Here is a 25,802-nt window from a genome sequence, read left to right as displayed (position 1 = left end):
CTGGGGTGTGTGCTGGCTCAGTCGCAGCCTCACATCCTCCACAAAGTCCCACTTCAGCATCTTCACATGTCTGAACTCTCTCTCTATTCTCAGTTCTCTGCCCTGATTCCCACTGGGGCATGGATTTTGGCAAGAAGACAAGATGGAAAAGGAGGGTCTCGGGTGGGTGATGCCGCTGTGTGTGTAGGTCTGGGGGCAGGGGCACAAGAGGAAAACTCCCCAAGCCTGTGGGATTTTAACCTGGTTGGGGACTCAGCACCAAAAAGGGACATGCAGATGGTGTCTGGGTTCATAGCGCTAACTTCTGAGGCCAGAAGAAGAGCTGGGGGTCTTAGGGGCAGAGGTCTCTGCGGGGACCTAGCTGAAGATTAAGGGACACAACCTCTCTCTGGTCACCTCCAAGGCTAAAGAAGGTGGCAGATTTAGCCTCCAACCACAAGATTGTCCATCCTGACCAGGAAGTGACATGTCACAGAGGGTGGAGCAGCCCATGTGGTAGGAAATGGCCCAGCTTGGCTCTGCCTTCTGCAGTGTGAGTAACACACTGAAGCCAGAAGCTGTGGGCTGTGGGGAAGTGGCTGCATCGCCACCCAAGGGACCCTGGACTTTGCCAGACGTCAGGGTTGAGAGGAGCCACTAGCACCATCCCAGAGCTGTCAGCACCGGCCTCAGCCCAGGCGGCTCTCTCCCTGAGCTTCCTGTACCCTGACCCTCTCCAGCCTCAGACCTGAGACAGGGCTGGACAAGGAAGCAGAGAGCAGAAGAAAAGCAGAAGCGAAGCTCAGATCTGCTGGGAGGAGATTACATTTTGTCCCCTCCTGGGGTCTTGCACAGTGGCAGGTGACATTCGTGTTACAGGAATGACTGCCAGGGCCTGGGCCTCGTGGCGGTCTTCAGCTCTGCTCCTCCTGCTTGTCCCAGGTGAGTGGGCCGACCCTGGACTTGGGGAGCTCTGTCCTGAGTGGGAGAGGGCAGGGAGGGGTGCAGGCGCTGGAGTAGCGGTCATAGAGGGGAGTGGGGCAGGGAGAGGGGAGGAGGGCAAAGGAGCACCCAGGAGCGGTCAGCAGCTGCCTCACCAGGGGACAGCAGGCGGCAGGGCACAGCACGGGGGAGGCCTATTCCTCTGTGCCCGAGACAGGAAGCCCTGGTGGGAGGTGATGCTGTGACTGTCATTGCCAAAGTTATCCAATCACAAATTTTATCTGGGACGATCACACACACAGTCACACTCACACGCACACACGGTCACACTCACACAGTCTCACACACATGCACACACAGTCACACTCACACAGTCTCACACACACATGCACACAGTCACACATGCACACACAGTCACACTCACATGCACACACAGTCACACATGCACACACAGTCACACACAGTCACACTCACACAGACAGTCACACTCACACAGTCACACACACAGAGTCACACTCACATGCACACACAGGCCCGCACACACCCAGTGTTTCCCTAGCCTTGCCTTTCCAGTCTCCATGGAAACTTCCCATGCCCTTCCCACCTCTGCACAGAGGGAGCCTCCCACCCTCAGTCCCTGTTCCTGGGTGGACAAAGGCTGCCTGCCTGCCATTGCCTTCTCCACACGCCCAGGGTCCATGAGGGGCTGACACTGCGGCACCCCTGACCAGGCCCCTCTGGTAAGGAGACAGGATTTTGGCTTGTATTTTTCAGGCTATTTTCCTCTGAGCCACCCCATGACCGTGGCGGGCCCCGTGGGGGGATCCCTGAGTGTGCAGTGTCGCTATGAGAAGGAACACAGGACCCTCAACAAATTCTGGTGCAGACCACCACAGATTCTCCGATGTGACAAGATTGTGGAGACCAAAGGGTCAGCAGGGAAAAGGAATGGCCGAGTGTCCATCAGGGACAGTCCTGCAAACCTCAGCTTCACAGTGACCCTGGAGAATCTCACAGAGGAGGACGCAGGCACCTACTGGTGTGGGGTGGATACACCGTGGCTCCGAGACTTTCATGATCCCATTGTCGAGGTTGAGGTGTCCGTGTTCCCGGGTGAGCCCCTCCTTTTCTCAGCACCAGGCCTGCCTGAGCCTAGGGCTGGTCATTCTGTCCCTGAAGAAAGAAGTGGAACAGGAGGGTGTGAGCCTGGGGGTTGGTGAGTCAGGACACTGTGTGCCGCTGTGTGTGGATGAGTGTGAGTGCGTCTTTGTGTATGCGTGCCTGCATAGGAGTTGTGGTGTGGTTTGTGTGTGTGTGCACCTGCATGTGTGTGTTGGGAGGGTGGGCGCCCACAAAAGCACCCTGGCCCTGTGGCTGGAGACCCCCCGCTGTGGGCCCTCCCTCACGGCCTCAGGCCTGAAACTTTCCTGGGTGGGGTCTGTGAGGCCACCCCTGACTCTGGGGTCCTTGCTACCTCCCTGTATTGACAAGGGCCGGATCCATACTGAAGGGTGCCCACTGTCCCGCCTGGGTCTAACTCGCTCTTCCCCACGGGGAATTGGACCCCCCCATCATTGGCTCCTCTCACTCAAGGCTGCCCCTGCCCTGGGGCCTGCATGGATGCCGCCCTGTCTGGAGGGTCCTGAGGCCGCAGCCTCACAGCCCTGTCCTGGGAGCTCCTGCAGCAGCCACTGGAGGACACAGGAAGGAGCCCCAGAGCCCTGGGTGGGGTTCTCATGCTCCTGGGAACCACATCCTGCCCCTGAGGCTGACCTGTGTGTCCCCCTTATTCTCTGGCACCTTTTACCACAGGAGGGAACCCCAGAAATTGCCCCCTCAGGCAAAGGGACCTGTGGATGGAAATGAGCTGAGACTGGCACGGACCTGAGGGCCCTTTCCCGTGCCGAAGATCATTCTTCCCTCAAAGGCCCCCTCCTGTCTCACAAGACACAAACCCAGTGGCCTCAGTGTGGTTGCTTTTCCATCGTTTTCTTCTGACAATGTCCCAGGTTCCTCGGAGCATCTTCTTGTTCTCCATTTCCCCGGGGGCGACGTGTCCCTCCTGCGCCCTTTGTGCCTTCCTATCTAGGAGTGAGGAGCTAAGATCCCACCTGAGGGCGCCAGGGAGAGGAGGAAAGGGCCCTTATCCAGCTGTATTCACCACGGGCCGCCGCCCAGGCTTCACCGGGCATCCCCTCTCTAGATCTTTCTTCCTGGGCATTCCCTCCTGCTGAGAGGATGGTCCAATGGCCTTGTGGGGCCGCAGCATGGCTGCCATTTGGGGCTGAGTGGACTCGGGTCCCATCGTTCAGGGAGGACCCCACTGACTTCCTGTCCTCACTTCCAGCCTCTCTCCAGCCACTGCTGTGCCCAGGGCCCTGGCTTCGCAGTCACTCTGGGTCACCCTTCGCAGAGTAAACATCACCCCATTCCCCCAGGTCACCCTGTCCCTCCCTGGCTGGGGTGAAACCTGGAGACCCGTACCTTTGCCACAGGTGAGCAGGGCAGCTCTCACATCTGAAATGGTGTCCTGGCTCTGCAGTACCTAGGGATGGGACAAGGAGAGGCCCAGGACCCTGGTCAGGCCTGGGTGTGGCCGTGGGGCATGATGGATGCAGGGCATCTGTCCAGCACATCATTGGTGACCTTGTCTGTGAAAATTGGAGCAGAACAGGTGAGAGTAAGTGGGAGACCCATGTGATGTCATCAAGGTTGACCTGTGTTTCACCCACAGCCGGGACGACCACAGCCTCCAGCCCCCAGAGCTCCATGGGCACCTCAGGTCCTCCCACGAAGCTGCCCGTGCACACCTGGCCCAGCGTGACCAGAAAGGACAGCCCCGAACCCAGCCCACACCCTGGGTAAGGTGCCTGCGCATAGGACTGGGCCACGCTGGCGGCCTCCCCACTGCGTGTGATGTTTAGGGGACTCGGATGTCCCTTCTTCCAGTCCCTTCTTTGTTCGCACCTCCCACACCAAACGTGAAGGTTCTATTAAGTGTCAGGCGCTCCTTTTGGGATTGGGTCACAGCAGGGAACCACACAGCCACTGTCCTGCCCTGGTGGAAGTTGAGTTCTACTGCGTGGATTCACGCATTGAGCAAGTCAGCACAGAGGCTGATGTACAAATACAGCAAAGGGTAATGAATGCTGGGATGAGATGTTTGACTCTTGGGTTTGGGGAGAGCGTGTGCAGGTGTTGGAGTTGCTATTTCACTGACGATGATCAGAAGAGGGTTTGAGAATTAGAGGACATGAGCACAGAGACCTCAAGGGTTGGGGGCTGGGCACTCTGGGGTCTGGAGGAAGAAGGGTCCAGGTGGAGGGAGGAGTGAGGCAAATGTCCTGCGAGGAGCCTTGGGACCTGGCCAGGCCAGGGAAGGGGGCAGATGCTCTGGGGTCCGGTGGCCCTGGTCCTCTCCCCTGCCTCTCTCGCAGCCCTGGCCAGAGTTTCATCCTGTTTGATAAGCCCAGTCCTCTGAGGAGCTGAGAGCTGAGCTGTCCATTCATTAATTCCTTCAACAACCACTGAAGTTGTAGGGCAGATTATTGGAGACTCCGGGTAGGCAGCAGGTACTCACTGTGAATGAAACAAATGGTCCCTGCCCTCCTGGAAACGCTGTGTACAGGAGAGTTGACACCAAACAAATAACCCTTTGTGAATTCCGGGACCCCAGCTGGGTAACCCTCCATGGGGAGCACAGAGGTAGACAGCTGCGTCCTGGACACAGACCCTGCCTGGATCCCTGGCGTGACCTCACGTCCTCTCATGGTCCTGCCCTTCCTGTGTCACAGTCCTCAGGTCAAGGGTAAATCCGAGGCTGAGGGTTAGGGGCCGTGATGCTGAGACGGGATGGACTGTCCAGGGGGGTGCTTATGTGGTTGGCTGTGGTCACAGGATTGGGACACAAGGGTCAGGGGATGGTGGAGGGCACCTGGGCCTCCCCTGGGGAGGTGACTCACTGCCTGTCACCGTGTCCCCACAGCTCCCTGTTCAGCAATGTCCGCTTCCTGCTCCTGGTCCTCTTGGAGCTGCCCCTGCTCCTGAGCATGCTGGGTGCCGTCCTCTGGGTGAACAGACCTCAGAGAAGCTCTAGAAGCAGGCAGAATTGGCCCAAGGGTGAGAACCAGTAGCATCTGCTGTCCATCAAGGCCCTGTGCTGCAACAGAGCCCCTCTGGGGGACTGGAATGACCTCCTGACCACTCCCTCCCGGGCTGCTCTCTCCACATCTCCTGGAATCCTTTGTGAGCCTCCTTCAGCCTTTTCCCTGTGCCCGATCCTCATGTGTCACATGTGAACCTGACGGACATGGACGCCCTGAGCTGTGAGTCCACGTCTCATGTGCACGCCCCGGCCAGCTAAGCCTCGGGCCGTCAGCAATACCTCTGAGTGCCCGGATGCCCTCCCTGCACCCTTCCATTTCTCCAGGAGCCTGGCACTGCTTCCTCCACCGTTTTCACAGGGAGAAGCAGGTCTAGGACTCCCCTGCACCTTTGCCACCATAATGGCCCACACTCCCTGGGTCCAGGAGTGTAGAATATGCGGCTGCTTCCATTTGCTGAGTGTGTCGATTCAATGATGCTTTCAAACTTTAATAAATGACAATGTGTAGGTTTGGGATGTATCAGGCCCACTCAGTCAGACCTGAGTGAGAAATCCATTGTTCCCTGATTTCCACAGGCCTTTGCTGAGAATAGTGGACCAAGCCCCATGTTAGGCCTCTCGGAATGGGGGTCCCTGCAGAAAAGGATCCAGAATTTCCCCCAAAGCCTGACTATTCCCTCCTTCAGGTAGACACATCCTGGCCAGTGTCTTTAGGTCCCTCTGGGAGAGCTGGTAGAAGATTCTCAGTGTGAACTGTGGTAGCATAACCAGGCCTACCCTTCCTCCTTCTTCAAGGGGACCTGACCTCTCCTTCATTCCAGGGCTGTGGGTTTTAACTGGTGCAAATTTGGAAACGGATGGAGGGCTATGACTCCTTGATGTGGTAGTTAAGTGAGTCTTTTGCTCAGTAGTGTAGACCATGTCTGTCTATACAGACGAAAGATGTTATCATTTGCCCACCATTTCAGTTCCAGGGTCGCCATGATGACCTGGCCAACACCCAAGACCCCTGTGAGGCAGATGATTCCCATGAGTCCTCCTGGTCAAGGAGGGCCTCGCCTGGGGGGTTCTTAACCCTTTTTTCCATTCGGCAGATGCTTATGGGAGCTTTTGGTGTATCAGACACTGACCTGGCATTGGAGTCCAGCCGTGAACACCCAGGCAAGGAGCTCTGTTTACACTGAGCCCATATTCCAGGTGGGGGATAGAAATGATAAACAAATGCAAAAATACATGAATATGTTCCAGAGGTAATGTAAAAGACAGAGGTGAAAAGAGCCACGGAGTAAAATAAGAGAAGTGGGGTGACTGCTTTGCAGGAGTGGAGGGGTCTGTGATGAAGCCCCTCTAATAGGCGCTGAGCAAGCAGGGATCAGGAGAAAGGAGGGGGGTGAGCGCCAGGATCCCTGGAGGAGGAGCCCTGAGGCAGAGAGAGCAGCAGGTGCATGTGTCCTGCCAGGGGGGCATCTTAGACTTGGATCTGGAAAACACAGGAAGCAGATCCCTCTCTGGATCCAGTGGCTCCAGGGCCTGCAGATAGCATTCTCTGTCTCCTCCCCAGCCTGAGCTGGATATGGCACACCAGCATCAGACAATTAAGTTTTCTGAAGGCAGGTAAGACTCGAGAGAGTCATGCATTCATTCATTCATTCAACAAGCAATTTGTTGACTTGCCCTTGGCAGACCCCAGGATGACAGCAAGTCACAGCTGTGATCAGGACAAGATACTGCCCTGGTTCTCCATGAGCTACCAGTCCAGACGAAACCCACCAACAAAACAGTGATAAACACAAGAGGGAAATGTGAAATGGGTCATGAGGACCCCTAAAAAGGAAGCCACCATAACCCAGGAAGGTCAAGGAACACGCAGGCAAACCTGTCAGCTGGAGGCAGGCAGAGGAGTGGGAGGTTGAGGGTCTGGACAAAGACCCGAGTCGGGAGGGTGGCAGCACCGAGGTGAACCTGGAGCCAGGAGGTTGGAGCCACTTGCCGGGTGATAGGGGCTGCCAGGACCTGTGTGCAGAGGCCAGGTCAGGTGGGTGCCATCCTGTGACAGCAGGAGCCATTGGGAGTTCAGCAGTGCCTCCCCAGGGCCGTGTGTGTGTGTCAGGGGTCACATTGCTCATTGTGGGGAGAATGAAAGGGATGAGTAAGAGCAGAAGGGGAGACCAGGTCAGGTCCCCGTGGCAGGGCCAGCTACTGCCAAGCTGGGTCAAGGTCAGACCTGAACACTGGGCAGGTGGGAAGGCCCGGGATTGCATTGGGCTGGCGACAGTCCCATGATGTGAGTCGGGGGCATCAGCACCAATGACTGCAGTGCACACTGTCCCTGAGAGTGTAAATGAAGGGAGGGCTGGGCAGGACAAGGGTGCAGTGACCCCTTCATGGTGCCAGGTCCACCAAGATTCCCCTGTCACTCTCCGCTCGGCCTCTGGTGCTATTGGGCATGATAGGAAGAAAGGAACGGAAATCTGTAAGAGGGTTGGGAGAGTCAAGGAATATGCTTAAGGCATGAGAAGGTGGAGAAGGGGTGATGCCCTCCGGGACAGACAGGAGGCAAATCCTGTATCTGACTAGCCTCCTTGCCCTTTCCAGGGTAAAGACACCCTGAGCCCATCATGTCAGGAGAACCAGCCATTCTGAGTGTGGACAGACCTGGGTTCCCGCCTCCTGGGAAGGCCTGTCCAACATGTCTGTTCCCTGGGAGGCACCTGGCCATCACAGTGGACCCAGGACAGACACTAGCAGCCGCCGCTCAACAACCATAAATTTTACAGATAGATGTTTGCAGCCACAGGGCAGGTGCCAGTTTATCTGTGAAGAGGACTAGACAGGGCTCCTGCCTTTGTGGGAAATGCCATCTGGAGAGGAGCAGGCATTCGACAGATATCCAGGTTATTGATTCCTGCACCTCTGAAGAGTCTGCTCCTGCACACAAAGGGCTTTGGTAGAGATTCTTGTGGATTCAGGTCCTACCAGGTCCCTGGGTGTCCCCTCACATTGCTGCTATCGCCCTGCCCTGCCTCAGCCCACAGCCCTGAATCTCAAGGCAATTCTTAGGGTGATAATTAGAGGCCATTGGTCTTATGTATCTGGCTGCTATGTCCAGGTTAGTTCTTGATTTTTGTGCCCACAGTACCTTGGCACTGGAGATAGGGGCAAGGTGGAGGGCACCAGGTCTTCCCCTGGGGAGGTAACTCACTGCCTGTCACCGTGTCCCCACAGGTCCCTCCTCAGCAGTCTCCACATCCTGCTCCTGATCCTCCTGGAGCTTCCCCTGCTCCTAAACAAGCTGGGGGCTGTCCTGTGGGTGAACAGGGCTCAGAGAAGCTCGGTGGGGAGGCAGAGTCAGCTGGATTGTGAGAAACAGTAACTCTGATGCCCATCAATACCGCGCCAAGCAACATACTCCCTCTTACATATGGGAATGGCCTTCTGACCAACAAATCCATGTTTCTATCAGAAGATTTGGAGGCTTTTTTCTTGTGATGTATCAGACACACAAAAGAATACATGCACTTTACACCAAGAATACTCTTTAACCTGTGTGTGCCCACCATCCAGTTTAAGTAATAGAACATCATTCATACTCATGAAGCCCCAAACCGCTTGCTGATCTTATGCAATTTCTTTTCTATCCTTCTCTCAGAAAACCACATCCTACATTTTATTTTATTGTATCTTTTTTTATAGAGATGGGTCTTACTATGTTACCCAGGCTGGATTTGAACTCCTGGGCTCAAGCCTTGGTCCTGTCTCAGCCTCTGGAGCAGCTGGGACTACAGGCATGCACCACAGCACCTGGCTCACATTCCGATTGTTATGTTCATCATCATCTTGTTTTAAGGGATTTGCCACATACATGCATATGGATTTCCAAAGGGTATGTTGTTTAGCTTTGTTTATTTTTGAACTTTCTGTGAATAGTATTAGGCATTTTTATTTCTAAGCAATCAGACTTTATCTTTCAACACTTTTTTTTTTTTTTGAGATGGAGTCTCACTCTTTCACCCAGGCTGGAGTGCAGTGGTGCGATCTCGGCTCACTGTAACCTCTGCCTCCCAGGTTCAAGCGATTCTCCCACCTCTGCCTCCTGAGTAGCTGGGACTACAGGCATGTGCCACCATGTCCGGCTAAATTTTTGTATTTTTAGTAGAGAGGGGTTTTACCATCTCCTGACCTCGTGATCCATCCGCCTCAGCCTCCGAAAGTGCTGGGATTACAGGTGTGAGCCACAGTGCCTGGACCATTCAACACTTTATTTTTGAGATTCATCCATGTTGATGTGTTGACGCACTGATGTGTCACTTCTTTGTATTGGTCTACATTCTGTTGTATGAGCATACCATAACTCGCACATCCCTCTTTCTTAAACAGGCATTTAGGTTGTTTCTTTTCTTTCTCTTTTTTGTGCTCTTCTTATTTTCCTCCTTCTCTTTCTCTATCCTTTCTCTCTCGTCTTCCCCTTCCTCTTCCTCCTCCTCTTGTCCCTCCTTTCTCCTCTTTCTACTCTTTTCTGCCTACTCTTCTGCCTACTTCTCCTCCTCCTCCTCCTTTTCTTCTTTTTTCTTTTCCTCCCTCTTTTTTTCCTCCTCTTCCTCCTGCTCTTCCTACCTCTTGGTCCTCCTCCTCTTCTTTTTTCTCTTCCTCCTCCTCCTTTTCTTCCTTCTCTTCTTTTTGTGTTGCCATTACTTATAACGTTATTATGAACATATATCCTAATTTTGTCTGTCCAAAAGTGTCTCCTAGAGTAGAGTTCTAAGGGAATAATTGCTAGGTTTTGCTGCATGTGTGTAATCAGCTCTACTAGGCAAGCGCAAATTATTTTCCAAAGTAACTGCACCAATTTTTGCTTCTTATCAGCAGTGCTCCTGCTTGAATCTTATCAGACTTTCTAAATTTGTTCAAGTTAATGGGTATGAAATGGTATCTCATTGTTTTAATTTGAATTTCTCTGCTTACTAATGTTAAACTCATGCTCATGTGTTTTTTGGTTATCTGAATTTTCTCTTTTGAGAAATGCCTCTTCTAATCTTCATCTACTTTCTGTTGTTTGTCTGTGTTCTTTTTTTTTTTTTTTTTTTGAGACGGAGTCTCGCTCTGTTGCCCAGGCTGGAGTGCAGTGGCGTGATCTCGGCTCACTGCAAGCTCCGCCTCCTGGGTTCATGCCATTCTCCTGCCTCAGCCTCCCGAGTAGCTGGGATTATAGGCGCCCACCACCACGTCCTGCTAATTTTTTGAATTTTTAGTAGAGACGGGGTTTCACCATGTTAGCCAGGATGGTCTCGATCTCCTGACCTCATGATCCAATTGGTAGAAGTTCTTTGCAAGTCTTTTGTTAGTTACTGGTGCTCCACATATACTTTCCTGGGCTATTGGCTTTATGATATCTTTTGAGAAACAGGATTTTCACTTTAATGTACAAATTATTCATTTTCCTTAATGGTTTATACTTTCATCTTGCTTAACCAATTATGGATACTCCCAAATTAAAAAAAAATTATCCTATATCTTCTTCTAAAATTTTTTAAATATTCCCTTTCACAGGTAAGTCCTTGACCCATTTCTAAATGATTTTGTTTCTAGGCTGAGATAATAATCCATTTTTCTGTCTTCCATTTGGATAAGCATTATCCACATTTTCCCAGCAATCTGCAATGCAACCCCTGGCAGGTGTTTATTTCTATGTCTGCTTGGACCTTTTTCTAACCACTCTATTATGTTGAATTTGCCTAATTGCTTATTTTGGAACCAAGACAACATTGTTTTAATTACTATAGCTGTATTTAAATGTCTTGTTATCTGGTAAGTCATGTCACTATACATTGTTCTTTGATATTGGGAATGTCTTTGCAAATATTGGCCATTTCCTCTTCTGCAGAAATTTTAGAATTAACCAGTCAACGTACTAAAAAAGAAAAAAAATTATGTTGAGACTTTAAATGTAAATGTATGAAATTTATCTTTATAATAATTTCTCTGTCTATGAACATGGTATGTAATTCTAATTATTTATGAGCTTTTAAAATGTCTTTTAATAACATTCTATTATTTTCTCCTTGATATTTGCTCATATATTTGTTAAGTGTAATTCTGGATATTTTATGTTTTTATTCTTATTTTGTGGCTTTTTTTTTTTTTTTTTTTGAGACAGAGTTTTGCTCTTATTGCCCAGGCTAGAGTGCAGTGGTGCAATCTCGGCTCACTGCAACCTCCGCCTTCTGGTTTCAAGTGATTCTCCTGCCTCAGCCTCCCAAGTTGCTGGGATTACAGGTGCCTGCCACCATGCCCAGTTAATTTTTTTGTATTTTTAGTGAAGACGGGGTTTCACCATGTTGGTCAGGCTGGTCTTGAACTGATGACCTCGTGATCCATCTGCCTCAGCCTCCCAAAGTGCTGGGATTACAGGCATGAGCCACCGCGCCCCGCCCCATTTTGTGGCATCTTTTATTGCATTTTCAAGTTATTCATTGCATGCATGTAGATAAACAATTGATCCTTACTGATTATATATATTTAGCAACTCTGCAAAAAATCTTAGTAATTGTTTTCAGTTTTATATGTAGATAATCAATTAATCTAGAATAATTTAGAGCTTTGTTTTTCTTTCTAATTCTCATGTCTTTTGTTTCTCTTTCTTGTTGTATTGTGCAGGCTAATCAAAGTGTTGAATCAAAGTAGTGATTTTGAGCAATCTTGTCCTCTTCCTGATTCTAAAGGAAAGATTTTGCCATGGGTTGTAATGGGTTGCTTATAGGCACCTTTTAATTCCTAGTTTATCATGAAAAGTAATGGATTTCAGATAGTGGTTTTTGTGCGTTTACATGATTATGTGGGTTTTCTTCTTTATTCTATTAATGTGATTCATTATATTAATTTTTTTAGATGAAGCCTCATTCTGTCACCCAGGTTGGAGTGCAGAGAAGACGATCTGTTACCCATCTAGAAAGAGAAGTGAGAATAAAAGCATTATTTTAGTCTCCTTCCTTTCAGTATGTGATCCAGGATGGAGAACACAGTAGGGGGCGTTCCCCCAACTATTTTCTTTCCCTGGTTCCTGGATCCTGGCACCCATTTAAATGTGCTGGCCATGACTGCAGGCGTGACCCTCCAAGCCATGGCACCAGAGAAACTAGACTTCTGGGCCCACTTACACTTCCACAAGCACCTTAGTCTTTTATTTCTTTTTGACCTCCTGTGTGACCTGTGTGCTTCCCTAAAAAACAAAACAAAAAAACAACGATTTTAAGAAAAACTACGGGCCAGGTGTGGTGACTTATGTCTGTAATTCTAGCACTTTGGGAGGGCAAGGTGGGTGGATCACCTGAGGTCAGGAGTTCAAGACCAGCCTGGCCAACATGGTGAAACCCTGTCTCCACTAAAAATACAAAAATTAGCCACACATGGTAGCGGGCACCTGTAATTCCAGCAACTTGGGAGGATGAGGCAGGAGAATCACTTGAACCCGGGAGGTGGAGGTTGCAGTGAGCTGAGATCATACCACTGCAATCCAGCCTGGGTGGCAAGAGCAAGACTCCATCTCAAAAAAAAAAAAAAAAAAAAAAAAAAGGAAAGAAAAGAAAAGAAAAAAAAAGAAAAACTACATAATTGGGCAAAGCCTCTTTAAGGGAGGGGGCGTGCTAGATTGAACTTTATATCTTGCTATTATTATGGCCTGTGCTAAAGCATTTACCCTTAGAAAAATGGTTCTGGTTAACTTCTGGACTTAAAAATCCCCTTACTAATTAAGTACCATCTTAATCGGAGACAGAATAGGTGCCTTAAAGGAATGTAGGAACCGAATGGCCATTTTCCTGCCAATGGGACAATATTGAGACTAAAATTTGGCTATGGAAGACTTCTTAACTCCTAACTGCTAAAGGCAGAACTTTCCCATTTCAAGAAGAGGCCTAGAGCCTGATTTCTTTTTCTTTTTTCTTTTCTTGTTCTTTCTTTCTCTCTCTCTCTCTCTTTCCTTTTCTTTTCTTTTCTTTTTTTTGAGACCGAGTCTTGCTCTGTTGCCCAGGCTGGAGTGCAGTGGCGCGATCTCGGCTCACTGCAAGCTCTGCCTGCCGGGTTCACGCCATTCTCCTGCCTCAGCCTCCCGAGTAGCTGGGACTACAGGCGCCCGCCACCACGCCTGGCTAATTTTTTTTTGTATTTTTAGTAGAGACGGGGTTTCACTGTGTTAGCCAGGATGGTCTCGATCTCCCGACCTCATGATCTGCCCGCCTCGGCCTCCCAAAGTGCTGGGATTACAGGCATGAGCCACCGCGCCTGGCCGAGCCTGATTTCTAATCATGCAAAAAGAAGCTGCGGTTTGCCATGAAAAAATATGCTTTATGTAGAGGATTTCTATTTCTACTAGGTGGCACTGTTGGCTTAGAAATACTATGTGCTCACTAGAGACGTGGTAGTGAGTAACCTCACGGTGGGAGAAAGGGGAGAACTCTGTTCCTAGAAGATTGCAAGGGCATCTTCCTGATTTTGCCTAACAGGATTACTTTCCTAGGCTGTAAAACTCGCTACACATTTCACACAAAGAAAGTGTAAGAGACCGCAGATAGAGAAGGAAGGAGAGTTTTGTGACAAGATAGTTGAGGATTCTTTGCCAACACCCAGAATGGGCCGCCAGAGGCTGGGTCCAGTCCAGGGGCCTTTGAATCATGCCAGGGTGTGCTCTGGCCAGAAATTGTTAGTTGCCTTAGAACTTTTCCCAGCCTTGCACAATGGCGAGGTCTTCCCGTGAAAAGAAGCTGATTTAAAACATGGCCAACATTCCCAATGACCCAGGGGTGTTGGGGGGTTCTCCGTGTTCTCAGCAGCAAGCCTCACATTCGAGTCTTCAGTATGGCAGCCAACACTAAGTGTATGTACCCGGCTGACGGATGCCCATTGACTTATTTTATTTTAAAATAGAGGCTAAGAGTGCCTCGGAATGATAGAAGAGATTTTAAGCTCACTCCCATACTTACCACTCCGATGAGTGTCGTACCTTGGATTCCCGGCCAATGCAACAAAATGGTATGGCTCTGATGACTGGAGGAACACTAGGGTCCTTGGTCTCCCACTGGTTTGAATAAAACAACATGGGCACACGTGGAGTGGTTTTAAGGAGTGGAGAATTTAATAGACAAGAAAGAAGGAAGGAAGAGGCTCCCCCTGTTCTGAGACTGAGGGAGGCGGGCTCCAAGCTGAAAGAGGGAACCTCGAGTACGGTGGAAAACAGCCAGTTATATGAGGAGGCTGGAGGAGGCGGTACCTGATTTGCATAGGGCCCAGGGGATTGGTTTGACCAGGTATGTCATTCAAGTAGCCCACGAAAAAACTAGCCTTCCTACCCTAGCCTTTTAATATGCAAATACAGGCGCCATGATGTTCTACACACATGGGTGTATGTAGGGGCGGCCATGTTGCCAGGAACGTGGGGAAAAGAAGAAGAGGCGGGAGTCTCCATGTTTGGGTGGACGCAGTTTCTAATGGCCTGTATTTGCATATCAAAGCTTGCCTGCCCAGCTCTAAGAGCCAGGGCTTTTCTTCTAGACAAGAAACATTTATGGAGCTGCTTTAAAAGAAAAAAAAATCTTCCCAAGCACCCCTTTTCCTATCTACCTAAAATAATTTCTTAATAACTCCTATAACAACAACAAACATTATGAGCCCAGTTAATAGATACAATAACTGAGGCACAGAGATGTTGATTGCATTGTCCACAGTCACGCAGCTTGTAGGTGGTGCTCGTGGGGTTAGAGCCAGGTCTGTCTGACCCAACAGTCTGCATGTTTATGCACTTGGCTATAACACCTGAACAAATGCATGTTCAGGTGTGCCCAGCATGACCCATCCGACATCTGAGTTGGGTGTTCACTGTGGTATAGAACAGCTCTGAAATTGACTCCCAGAGTGTTATACCCCTTGGACCCAAGGCCTGCTAGGCCAGACGCCCCCCACCCCACCCCTTCTGCAGACGTATCTCCCCCTACCCTAAAGACCCTGCACAGTCCCCTCCCTCCTCTTTTTTACATAGTGACGATGCTTAAGCCCTGTGGCGCAGCCCTGCCAAAAAATGACACCTCTTTCGTTTAATAATTAAAAGCAGGAACTACCCACTCTATAAAAGGAAGTGAATGAGTAAGAAAGTCAAAGGCGGTCTAGATGTGCAGAAGGTGCAAGCCAGAGCTCAGGCAGAACTTCCAGAGTGCATCTGGGATCTGCATTTGCCACTGGTTGCAGATCAGGCGGACGAGGAGCCGGGAAGGCAGAGCCATGTGGCTGCCCCCTGCTCTGCTCCTTCTCAGCCTCTCAGGTGAGTGGGGCTGGGGCCTTGGGCGCTTGGTATGACAGGGGCAGGGCAGGAGGCAGAGGGCATTTGTCCTTCCACATCCAGGGAAATGAGAGGTGGCTTTGTGAAGTCATTCGACAAAGGTGCACTGGGGACTGACATCGTGTGCTTCGGGGCCTGAGGACATCAAGAAAAAAGAGGAGGAGAACTGGCCATTAAAGAAGACTCCAGGCTTGAGGCCATGGCTCACACCTATAATCCTAACACTTTGGGAGGCCAAGGTGGGAGGATTGCTTGAGTCCAGGCGTTTAAGACCAGTTTGGGCAACATGGTGAGACCTCGTCTCTATATAAAATGAACAAAAATTAGCTGGGCGTGGTGACCGTGCCTGTAGTCCCAGCTACTTGGGAGGCTGAAGCTGGAGGATCCTTTGAGCTCAGGTATTCAATTCTGCAGAGTTATGATCGCACCACAGCACTCCAGCCTGGGTGATACAGTGGGACCTTGTCTCAAAAAAAAAATAAAGTAAAAAGACTCCAGATGGCTTAGTGGGTGAGACATACACATAAACAATGAGCAATTGCAGGACACAATAAGGCATTGGTGGAGGCGTGTGCGGAGGATGAAGCAGTTCTCTCTGGTGACTAGAGAAAGACTCACGAAGCTGTGCACTTGATGTGCCTTGTAGAAGGAAGGTCAGTCTCTGGAGCAGAGCTGAGAGGAGAACACTCTAGAGAGTTGGGTGTGTGTGTGTGTGTGTGTGTGTGTGTGTGTGTGTGTGTGTTGGGGGACCTGGGCAGAGAGATGGAGGCTTAGAAAGAATGGTGGATTCATGCAGAGGGAGCTGTCAGTGTGCAGGATGTCTTGGAGGTGGCGAGTTGGATATGAGGTTGGAAACACAAAAGACAAGATTATGAAGGCCATCCACGCCAGGCTCAGGAGCTGAGACTTTCAAAGAAAAAACTTCTCAAGAACCCAGGTGGAAAGTGGGAAGGGCTAGATGATCTTCTCCATGGCAAACCTTGGTGGACACCTAGAGGGCATTAGGGGACAATCTAGAATTTTACGCAGGGTGTGCAATGTGTGTGGGCCACACAGTTTTCTGCTGGTGCCTAGGGACTGACCATCTGGCACAGATAGAGCAGTCCACGGAGGGACAACAGGAAAGAGCATGGCTGGGGAGTTCTGAGACCCGACTCCAGTCCTGGCTGGACTTCCACCCTTCAGCCCGTTCAACGGGGCTCTGCTCCAAGCTGACGGCTGCCCTGTCATTTCCATCTCTATCGTTCCTCATACCAACTCTTGACAACATATAGAAGCCTGATTAATAGTTCCAGCCATCATATTCTGTGGTTAGAGAAACCCCCAAATATTTTTTTAAACGGGACTAATTACATCGTGAGCCATTTACAGTTTGAATGACTGAAGCTGGGATTGATGACACTTTGTTCAATGCAGCAGCATCTCTTTTCTGCTGTTAGTGATTGCTGACAAATCCAATTTATGTTTTTGGGTATTTTGTTTTTGTTTTTGTTTTTTGTTTTTGAGACGGAGTTTCACTCTGTCACCCAGGTTGGAGTGCAGTGGTGCAACCTTGGCTCACTGCAACCTCCGCCTCCCAGGTTCGAGTGATTCTTCTGCCTCAGTCTCCCAAGAAGCTGGGATTAAGGTGCCTGCCACCATGCCTGGCTAATTTTTGTAATTTTAGTAGAGACAGGATTTCACCATGTTGGTGAGGTTGGTCTTGAACTCCTGACCTCAGGTGATCCACCCACCTTGGCCTCCCAAAGTGCGGGAATACAGGCATGAGCCACCGTGCCCGGCCCCGAAAAGACTTTTAGATGCTCAGGGCAAGTGCAGCTGATGAGGAGGAGGAGACAGTCTCAGTACCCAACTCAGGCAGCAGTATGGAGAGGAAAGCTGAGGGAGCTGTCAGTGTGCAGGACATCTTGGGGGTGGCGAGTTGGATATGAGGTTGGAAACACAAAAGACAAGATTATGAAGGCCATAATCCTCAGGAGAGGAGAGTTGGGGAGGATGCTGCTGGGGCTGGGAAGACCTCTCCAGATGCCACTGCCATGATCCAGGCACAGATGAAGTTCTGACCTGTTGATGAGCTGTCACTGACAGAGCAAACCCCAAATGTCTGGCGTTGGACATACATCCAAGTCTTCTTTTAAATTTAAAAATAAATAATTTTTTGAAGACAGTGTCTCACTCTGTCACCCAGGCTGAAGTGCAGTGGTGGGCGATTATAACTCACTGCAGCCTTGAACTCTCAGGCTCAGGCGATCCTCCCACCTCAGCCCCCCAAGCAGTGGGGACCACAGGCATGCACCACCACTCCTGGCTAATCTTTTGCATTTGCAGACACAGGGTTTCACCATGTTGCCCAGGTTAGTCTGGAACTCCTGGGCTCAAGCGATCCTCCTGCCTCAGCCTCCCACAGCTTTGGAATTACAGGCATGAGCCACCTTGCCCAGCCTACACACATCCAAGTCCTATTACCACCTTCAAAGTAGAGCGTAGCATGACTGTCTTATGAATAAGGAAGCGATACTTGCAGAGGTTAAGCAACTCTGCCAGGGTTTCCCAACTAGTTCAGTGTCAAGTCTTTCTGCATCAAAGCTCACACTCTCTCTGATGTCATGCTGTCCTTGTGGCCTGCGATGGCAGAGACTGAAAGAAGAAAAAAAAAAACTGAGGAGCATCTCTAGGATAGAGCTGACTAAACTGGCTACCAATCAGCTCGGGGGCTGAAGGAGAGGACAGCATGAAAGAAGATGCCAAGCTCTTCCTGAAGGCTGGGTGGTGGAGCTGCTGGTTTGAAGAGAATCAAGTTGGTTCTGCTGATTGAATGCCATGTGAATTTCCAGTGGCTGCTGTAACAAATTAACATGAACTCTATGGCTTAGAACTGCACAATTTCATCATCTCATTGATGCTTCTGAAGACCAGAGCCTGGCGTGGTCTTACTGGTTAAAATTGAGGTGCAAGTAGGGTTGGGTTTCTTTAGAGCAGTGGTCCCCAACCTTTTTGGCACCAGGATCCGGTTTTGTGGAAGACAATTTTTCCACATCAGGAGTGGGGTGAGGATGGTTTGGGATGATTCAAACGCATTACACTTATTGTATACTTTATATTACTATTATATTATAATATATAATGAAATGATTATACACTGCACCATAATGTAGAATCAGTGGGAGCCCTAAGCTTGTTTACCTGCAACTAGATGATCCCATCTGGGGGTGATGGGAGACAGTGACACATCATCAGGCATTAGAGTCTCATAAAGTGTGTGCAATCTAGATCCCTCACACACGAAGTTCACAATAGGGTTCTCACTTCTATGAGAATCTAATGCGGCCGCTGGTCTGATGGGAGGCGGAGATCAGGTGGTAGTTTGAACAACGGGGAGTGGCTGTAAATACAGATGAAGCTTCGCTTGCTTGCCCACCGCTCACCTCCTGCTGTAAGGTCCGGTTCCTAACAGGCCATGGGCTGTTACTAGTCTGTTGTCCTGGGGTTGGGAACCCCTATTCTAGGGGAGAATCTGTTTCCCTGCATTTTCCAGCTTCTAGAAGCCATCTGCTTTCCTTGGCCGGTGGCCTCTTCTTCCACTTCAAAGCAGCAACAGACCATCTTCCAATTGGACTCTCCCTCAACCCTCTTTCACTTAGAATATCCATGGAGATTATTCGGGATATTCTTCCTGTCTCAAGGTCCTTAACTTCATCACATCGGCAGAGTCCCTCTGGCCATGTCAGGGGACATATTCGCAGGTTCTGTGTATGAGGATGCCAACAGCTATGGGGGACATTATTCTACCAACCACGAATGCAAAGTTCAAGAAAACTAACACAGCTTCAAGGAGAAGGCCCAAGCTGTGAGGAGGCGGCATCTGCCTGGAGAAATAGACCTGGCTTTCTCCACCCTGCAGAGACCCCTGGCCTGGGCCTGAAGCTCTGAGGCCAAGAGACAGTCAAGAGAGGCTTCCCCTGTGATTCTCTGCCTGTTTATCCACTTCTGCGTGATCAAGAAACCCGTGTCATTGCCAAGGAAAGAGCCTATCTACACACAGCCTAACTGGAGTCAATCAGCGGAGGCACGGACTGCCATTTGATTATGCTCACCTCTAACCTGTTCAGCTTTCACCAGGCCTTTGTTACTCTTGCCACATCCAATTGCTCCACTAGAAAAAAATACTGAAGAAGAGTAGTTCAGGGTGGGAGAGGAAGTGCATTCAATTCTGCAACGAAGGAATCTGGGGTGGAGACATCCAGTGTGTCTTTGTAAATGGTGGGCTAGCTAAGGGGAGTCTGAGCTGCAAATATGGATTTGGGAATCATCAGGAAACAGGTAATCATTAAAGCCATGGAAATGGAGAGACTCCCTCCATGGAGGCTTGTCAGGTGAGACAAGATGAAGGCTGGAGAGGGAACCCTGGGTACCCCCGCAGTGTGCTGGGGCTGGCTCACAGGAGCTGGCTTGGGACATCTTTTCCCAGCTCTGTGTCCAGTGACATCACATGGATTACCTGACATCTGCCACCGTGGGAGTATTTACACTATGGAATTTGGCAAATATTAAAACCAGATTTTTTTTCTTTTTCTTTTTCTAGACAAGAGTCTCACTCTGTTGCCTAGGCTGGAGTGCAGTGGTGCGATCTCAGCTCACTGCAACCTCCGCCTCCCGGGTTCAAGCAATTTTCATGCTTCAGCCTCCCGCATAGCTGAGACTACAGGTGACTGCCACCACGCCCAGCTAATTTTTGTATTTTTAGTAAAGACTGGGTTTCACCATGTTGGCCATGCAGGTCTCGAACTCCTGACCTCAGGTGATCTGCCCACCTTGGCTTCCCAAAGTGCTGGGATTACAAGTGTGAGCCACCGTGCCCAGCTCCTAAACCAGAGATTTTTTCCCCCAGAGGGCTGGTTGTTAAATATTTGGCTCCGATGAAAACAGCATTGAGAGGACAAGGAAAGAAGGTGGTAGGAGACCATGGTGTCACATGCTAAGCAGGTCTAGAAGCTGGTGGGGGAATGGACTGAGAGGGAGATGGGGATGAGGAATCGGGTGTGCTAGAGACACACTCGGGACTCTTAAACACCAAACTGGCTCAGGCAACAGGAGCTGTATCTTGGGATTTTGTTTTCCAGGCTGTTTCTCCATCCAAGGCCCAGAGTCCGTGAGAGCCCCAGAGCAGGGGTTCGTGCCGGTGCAATGAGCTGTATCTTGGGATTCTGTTTTCCAGGCTGTTTCTCCATCCAAGGCCCAGAGTCTGTGAGAGCCCCAGAGCAGGGGTCCCTGACGGTTCAATGCCACTATAAGCAAGGATGGGAGACCTACATTAAGTGGTGGTGCCGAGGGGTGCGCTGGGATACATGCAAGATCCTCATTGAAACCAGAGGGTCGGAGCAAGGAGAGAAGAGTGACCGTGTGTCCATCAAGGACAATCAGAAAGACCGCACGTTCACTGTGACCATGGAGGGGCTCAGGCGAGATGACGCAGATGTTTACTGGTGTGGGATTGAAAGAAGAGGACCTGACCTTGGGACTCAAGTGAAAGTGATCGTTGACCCAGGTAAGAACTTTCTCATCTACACAAGGAGGCCCTGGAGCTCAGGGCTGGGAAAGTCAGTGCTCTTACCTGCTCCCCTCCAAGGCTGAAAGGGAATGATGGTGAGCCTAAGAGAGAGAGAGAGAGAGACAGACAGACAGACAGGCAGACAAACTGACTGGGAAGGAGGTGACAGAAACTAAGGGAGAGTGGTGGCCAGCATCGCTCTGCTATCTCAGTCCCTGAGGTCTCTCCAAGGAATCCAGGTGGGGCTTGGGATGGGGGTGGGAATGGGGACCTCAGCTTTGGTGACTGGTGGCCCAGCCCTGCTCATGACATGGCAGAGAAGGAACCTAGAGCTGCCCAGGGGGTCCTAGTATTGAGTCCCACTAACTGCACCAACCCAGAGTAGCTCTGGGTGTCTTACAACACCCTCCTCTCTAGGTCCCCAGCCACCTGCTCCGCTACTTTATCTGGCTGTGTAAGATGAGCACGGGGTAAGAAAGCCCCAGGGAGGTGCATGGGTGACAGTGGACGCTTTAAAGCAAAAGGATGGCTTCCATCACGGGCAACGTCAGGGACCACTCTGGGTGCCCTGGCTTCTCCTCCATGCCTTGGACTCTACTGATAGACTCTGGGGTCATCCTGCTGCTGTTGCTGGAGTCTGGGAAGCAGCCCCCAACCCCCACTTCCACCCGCACACCCCTACTCAGTACTTCATCAGCTCAGTGTCCACTCGGGTCCATTTGGTGGTGATGTGGAAATAGACAATGCCGGCTTTAGAACAAGCCTGTGTACTGTTGGGGTTGGGACCAAAGAGGCACATGGACACAGTGGCTGCAGCTGAGTAAAGAGGAGTCCAGAAAGGGTCAAGCAAGACTTCCCCAGGGCTGCCAAGTAGGGGAAACCCAGAATATCTATGGGGGCAGAGAGGGGATTGAGCAAGACATGCAGGCGGTACAAAGAGACAAAAAACAGTGGCCAGTGTGGAGCTTTAGGGAGAGAGATGTTCCGGAGTCTTGGGTGGGGGATCTACAGGGGTACCAGCCTGTAAAACGATCAGGGGCTCCATAGGAACTGTTGTGATTGGAATTACCTGCAGCTCAGACAGGAGCCCACCTAGTGTGGCCAAAGCCTGGGACTTTTTTGTTTTGTTTTGTTTTATTTTGTTTTGTTTGTTTTTTGAGACAGGGTTTCAGTCTGTAGCCCAGGCTGGAGTGCAGTGGGGTGAACTTGACTCACTGCAGCCTCGACCTCCTGGGCTCAATCAATCCTTCCACTTCAGCTTCCTGAGTAGCTGGGACTACAGGGGCACATGACCACGCCTGGTTCATTTTGTATTTTTTGTAGAGATGGGATTTCACCATGTTGCCCAGGCTGGTTTCAAACTCCTGGCCTCAAGCGATCTGCCTCCCTTGGTCTTCCAAAGTGCTGGGATTACAGGCGTGAACCACCGTGCCTGGACAGCCTGGGACCTTTGAGAAAAATTTGCTGGGGCCGAGGACTGAAATAAAAGATCACTGTTGGGTCATGGATACTCAGTGCTGGGCTGGGCTCAGGGCCCCCCTGACCAGACTGCCCCCAACAAATTGCCTATATGGTTGCTCCTAAAAATGTTCCGTTTCTCATAGTCGATGTTCTCTAGTTAACTGGAGTGTGCCCTTTTCTTCATGAGCCTTCTGGAGTCCCCTTTCCCTTTTTCTGGACTACCCCAATTTCTGGACAGCCCATTTCCAGAATCTTCTCTCCTTAAGCCCTGCTCAGGCACCACTCCAGTGGAAAAGACCAGAAATTTATTTCCCCATCCAATAGTCCCACTTGCAGGATAGGTGGAAAGAAAGTATGAAAAAACCTCTCTCTCCCAGAATAAACTACAGTGTTTACTCCTGTTTAATTTTTAATTTTTCTTGCCACATCTGAACATGATGAGGAAAAATGTCTGTGTGTTGAGATTGAAGTGACTCAGTAGAAGCATGAGGGGCTGTAGCAGGAGAGAAAAATCCTCCTACTCCAGGGAAAAGGGTCTTCTGGTGAGGGCTGGCAGGGTCGCGTGGCTTTGTGACCCATGCATGAGCTCCCAACTGTGCTAATAACCCATGGCTGACTTTGCCTGTGTCTAGAGGGAGCGGCTTCCACAACAGCAAGCTCACCTACCAACAGCAATATGGCAGTGTTCATCGGCTCCCACAAGAGGTGAGTCATGTGGTTCTTTCTCCTGCCCCTACCTGGGGTCCCTCCTAAGGGGAAGCCAAGCCTGGGAACTCCTGCCTGTCACCAAATGCCAGCACCTGTTCTAGCCAGAGTCAAGGCCCCAAGCCCACCCTCCATCTCTCTCCTGCCCCCATCACTGCAATCCACCATCTCCCCACTCTAGCTCTCACCAGAAAACCGCTCTGCAGAACTCTTCTCAGTGAGCATCATTCTCCCAGTCAATCAGTCAACCTTGCATTGGTGGCCTAATGGGTGCCAGGGGGAGATAAGATACCACCCTCTGTGGTGCAAGACATCAAGGGACACAGAACAGGAAGGGTGATTTACCAGCCTGGAGCTAGCATTAGCAGGAACAGAGGCAGGAAACACAACCTGTATTTGGTGACCTCTGGCGCTTCTGTTGAGCTGAGATGTACTTTGGGCAAAGAGGGTCCCAGAAGGTGATGTTAGAAAGGAAGATGGGCCCCGTGCAAAACCAGCCAAGGTGACTGTTGGAGGACCCCTTGAGGTTGAACCAAGGAGGAGGTTTACAGGAATCTTCAGAGTGGGGCTGCCCGGCCCAGGGTCACAGGCTTTGGCTGGTGGCTCACAGGGTCAGGGGATGGGAGTGACATGGCCTGGGGATGCCCAGGGCTCTGACCACTGCATCCCCTTCCCCAGGAACCACTACATGCTCCTGGTATTTGTGAAGGTGCCCATCTTGCTCATCTTGGTCACTGCCATCCTCTGGTTGAAGGGGTCTCAGAGGGTCCCTGAGGAGCCAGGGGAACAGCCTATCTACATGAACTTCTCCGAACCTCTGACTAAAGACATGGCCACTTAGAGAGATGGATCTGCAGAGCCTTCCTGCCCTGGCCACGTTTCCAGAAGAGACTCGGGCTGTGGAAGGAACATCTACGAGTCCTCGGGATGCAGTGACTGAGATAGGGGCCCTGGGCCTCCGCCCTGGCCTTGGAGCTGGTGGGCACCTCCCTGTTCTGCACAGCTCAGGGACTTAGCCAGGTCCTCTCCTGAGCCACCATCACCTCCTGGGGTGCCAGCACCTGTTCTCTTGGTCAGGAGCTGTAGAGATGGAGCTCAAGCACTGGACGACTCTGTCCCCACTGCTGGAATAACTCGGGCACAGAGCATGGGACCAAAGTACAGAAAGAGGTTGGGGGAGACCCCCCCAGCCCTAGACTTCCATCATTCCGGAGACCAACTCAACACCGTCTTTGCCTGAGAACCTGATATATCCGTGTTTTTAAATTTTTTTTTTTCTAGCAAAGTTGGGTTTTAATGACTTATGTTCATAGGAAACCTCTCTGATCCCACACACAAGGAGGGTGATTCTGGGATGAGTTCCTGGTTCTAGGGCATGAGGGGCTGGATGGACCCTGTCCCCAGGGAGGACATGGCTCTGAGTCCACAGGGCTGAGGAGGCAATGGGAACCTCCCTGGCCCGGCCCGGTGCTTGTCCTCCCCCTCCCACCTCTTCCTCCTCCTAGCTCCCCAAGCTCCCTGCCTATTCCCCCACCTCCGAGGGGCTGCAGCTTGGGAGCCTCCTCAGCATGACAGCTTGGGTCTCCTCCCCAAAAGAGCCTGTCAGGCCTCAAGAACCACCTCCAGGTGGGGAGGGCAGTAACGAAAACCATCGCAGGAAATGGCACCCTCCCTTTTCGGTGATGTTGAAATCATGTTACTAATGAAAACTGTCCTAGGGAAGTGGTTCTGTCTCCTCACAGGCTTCACCCACGGCGATGAGGCCCTTGAATGTGGTCACTTTGTGCTGTATGGTTGAGGGACCCTCACACCAAAGGGACCTTCCCATGTGAGATGTGCTCCCGCCCCCACCTGCCCACAAGCAAACACACCACACATGTTCGGCATGTTGCCCTTTGAACACCCATGAGGACGCCTCCAACCTGCTCTTGGTTCTAATAGGGAGTACTGACTGTCAGCAGTGGATAAAGGAGAGGGGACCCTCTGGTCCCTAGCATGGCACCCAGAGCCTCCCCTCTTCTTGTCCTTCAGCCAAAGAGAAACTTTCTCTGACTTTGAACTGAATTTAGGTCTCTGGCCAATGATGGGCCTGAAAATTCCATAATGGCCAGAGAGGAGAGTTCGAGCCCGGCTAAGATCCCCTGAGTCATTCTGTGAGGGACCAAGACCCACAGTCCACCAGCCCCAGGGCCCTACCTCCTGGAATGCTTTCCTGGATCCAGCTTCCCGAAGATCCGACCAGACCCAGGGAGGACGGCACCGCTCCGCGGGAGGGAAAGCCAAAGCATGGTGCTTCACCAGCTGGACTCAGGGGCGAGGGGACATGGGCGCTTGTCAACGTGATGTCATTCTTTTCCCACCGTTTCTTCCTGTTGATATTCAATGAATCCGTCAATCTCTCTGGAGCTAGTGTGGCTGGGTTGTTATTCTCGTGGCTCTGTTAAGGAGAATCCACTGGAGTAAAGTAGGCATCTATTGTCTGTCTGCCCAACTACCACCCACCGCGCACGCCCTTACACCACCACCCCTTGTACACATCTCTAGGAATACCCCTTGGGGTTCCAACACAAGCTGACAAGCAAGGCTTGCCTAATACGCCCATTCTCTGGGGTAGGGAGAAAGACGGAAGTCAATAAATGAGTCACTAGTGCTGGCATTGCATTTTCCAGCAAATATGTTTCCATTGGGAGCTTGGAGCCAAAGCCGTCATGCCCTTAAATAGCCACAGACCATGAGGA

General features: G+C 50.8%; 2 protein-coding genes and 1 long non-coding RNA gene across 9 annotated transcripts, besides 3 other annotated features; 2 read left to right on the top strand and 1 right to left on the bottom strand.

The window, feature by feature from the left end:
- The first annotated feature begins 527 nt into the window (after nucleotides 1-527).
- Nucleotides 528-12,008, top strand: CD300C (CD300c molecule). Of its 3 annotated transcripts, XM_017024033.3 has the most exons (5): nucleotides 528-921; nucleotides 1,696-2,034; nucleotides 3,656-3,782; nucleotides 8,720-8,909; nucleotides 11,912-12,008. In XM_017024033.3, the coding sequence occupies exons 1-5, from the start codon at nucleotides 861-863 to the stop codon at nucleotides 12,002-12,004; spliced, it is 810 nt and encodes a 269-aa protein (XP_016879522.1). In that variant the 5' UTR covers nucleotides 528-860; the 3' UTR covers nucleotides 12,005-12,008. The 3 variants fall into 3 exon arrangements, with proteins under 3 accessions (XP_016879522.1, NP_006669.1, XP_047291113.1); NM_006678.5 differs by lacking the exons at nucleotides 8,720-8,909; nucleotides 11,912-12,008 and adding an exon at nucleotides 4,907-5,570; XM_047435157.1 differs by lacking the exons at nucleotides 8,720-8,909; nucleotides 11,912-12,008 and adding an exon at nucleotides 4,907-5,570 and having other exon boundaries at nucleotides 1,696-2,137.
- LOC107985074 (uncharacterized) lies at nucleotides 2,013-25,612 on the bottom strand. Of its 4 annotated transcripts, none has more exons than XR_007065901.1 (3): nucleotides 14,002-14,237; nucleotides 3,406-3,466; nucleotides 2,013-2,094 (listed from the first exon to the last, which is right to left on the bottom strand). It is a non-coding gene; the product is annotated as an uncharacterized LOC107985074 (long non-coding RNA). The 4 variants fall into 4 exon arrangements; XR_007065902.1 differs by lacking the exons at nucleotides 2,013-2,094; nucleotides 3,406-3,466 and adding exons at nucleotides 11,764-11,968; nucleotides 25,261-25,612 and having other exon boundaries at nucleotides 14,002-14,096; XR_007065900.1 differs by lacking the exons at nucleotides 2,013-2,094; nucleotides 3,406-3,466 and adding an exon at nucleotides 11,764-11,968.
- Nucleotides 7,166-7,666: an enhancer, noted in NCBI's record as "H3K4me1 hESC enhancer chr17:72535116-72535616 (GRCh37/hg19 assembly coordinates)". NCBI's record gives its function as "activates a minimal SCP1, AML or CMV promoter by ChIP-STARR-seq in naive H9 embryonic stem cells {active_cell/tissue: H9 hESC(naive)}" and the evidence as "EXISTENCE:reporter gene assay evidence [ECO:0000049][PMID:30033119]".
- On the top strand, nucleotides 15,168-25,469 carry CD300LB (CD300 molecule like family member b). Of its 2 annotated transcripts, none has more exons than XM_005257027.4 (4): nucleotides 15,168-15,332; nucleotides 20,566-20,895; nucleotides 22,992-23,064; nucleotides 25,134-25,469. In XM_005257027.4, the coding sequence occupies exons 1-4, from the start codon at nucleotides 15,182-15,184 to the stop codon at nucleotides 25,207-25,209; spliced, it is 630 nt and encodes a 209-aa protein (XP_005257084.1). In that variant the 5' UTR covers nucleotides 15,168-15,181; the 3' UTR covers nucleotides 25,210-25,469. The 2 variants fall into 2 exon arrangements, with proteins under 2 accessions (XP_005257084.1, NP_777552.3); NM_174892.4 differs by having other exon boundaries at nucleotides 23,743-25,469.
- Nucleotides 18,049-18,118: an enhancer, noted in NCBI's record as "active region_12712". NCBI's record gives its function as "activates an Ori minimal core promoter by ATAC-STARR-seq in GM12878 lymphoblastoid cells {active_cell/tissue: GM12878}" and the evidence as "EXISTENCE:reporter gene assay evidence [ECO:0000049][PMID:35858748]".
- Nucleotides 24,818-24,877: an enhancer, noted in NCBI's record as "active region_12711". NCBI's record gives its function as "activates an Ori minimal core promoter by ATAC-STARR-seq in GM12878 lymphoblastoid cells {active_cell/tissue: GM12878}" and the evidence as "EXISTENCE:reporter gene assay evidence [ECO:0000049][PMID:35858748]".
- Nucleotides 25,613-25,802: the final 190 nt, after the last annotated feature.

Source organism: Homo sapiens, chromosome 17, assembly GCF_000001405.40.
Source record: "Homo sapiens chromosome 17, GRCh38.p14 Primary Assembly".
In the NCBI taxonomy this organism is placed as follows: domain Eukaryota; kingdom Metazoa; phylum Chordata; class Mammalia; order Primates; family Hominidae; genus Homo; species Homo sapiens.
The sequence above is the reverse complement of the archived record's forward strand: the minus strand, read 5'-3'. Positions and strand labels throughout refer to the sequence as shown.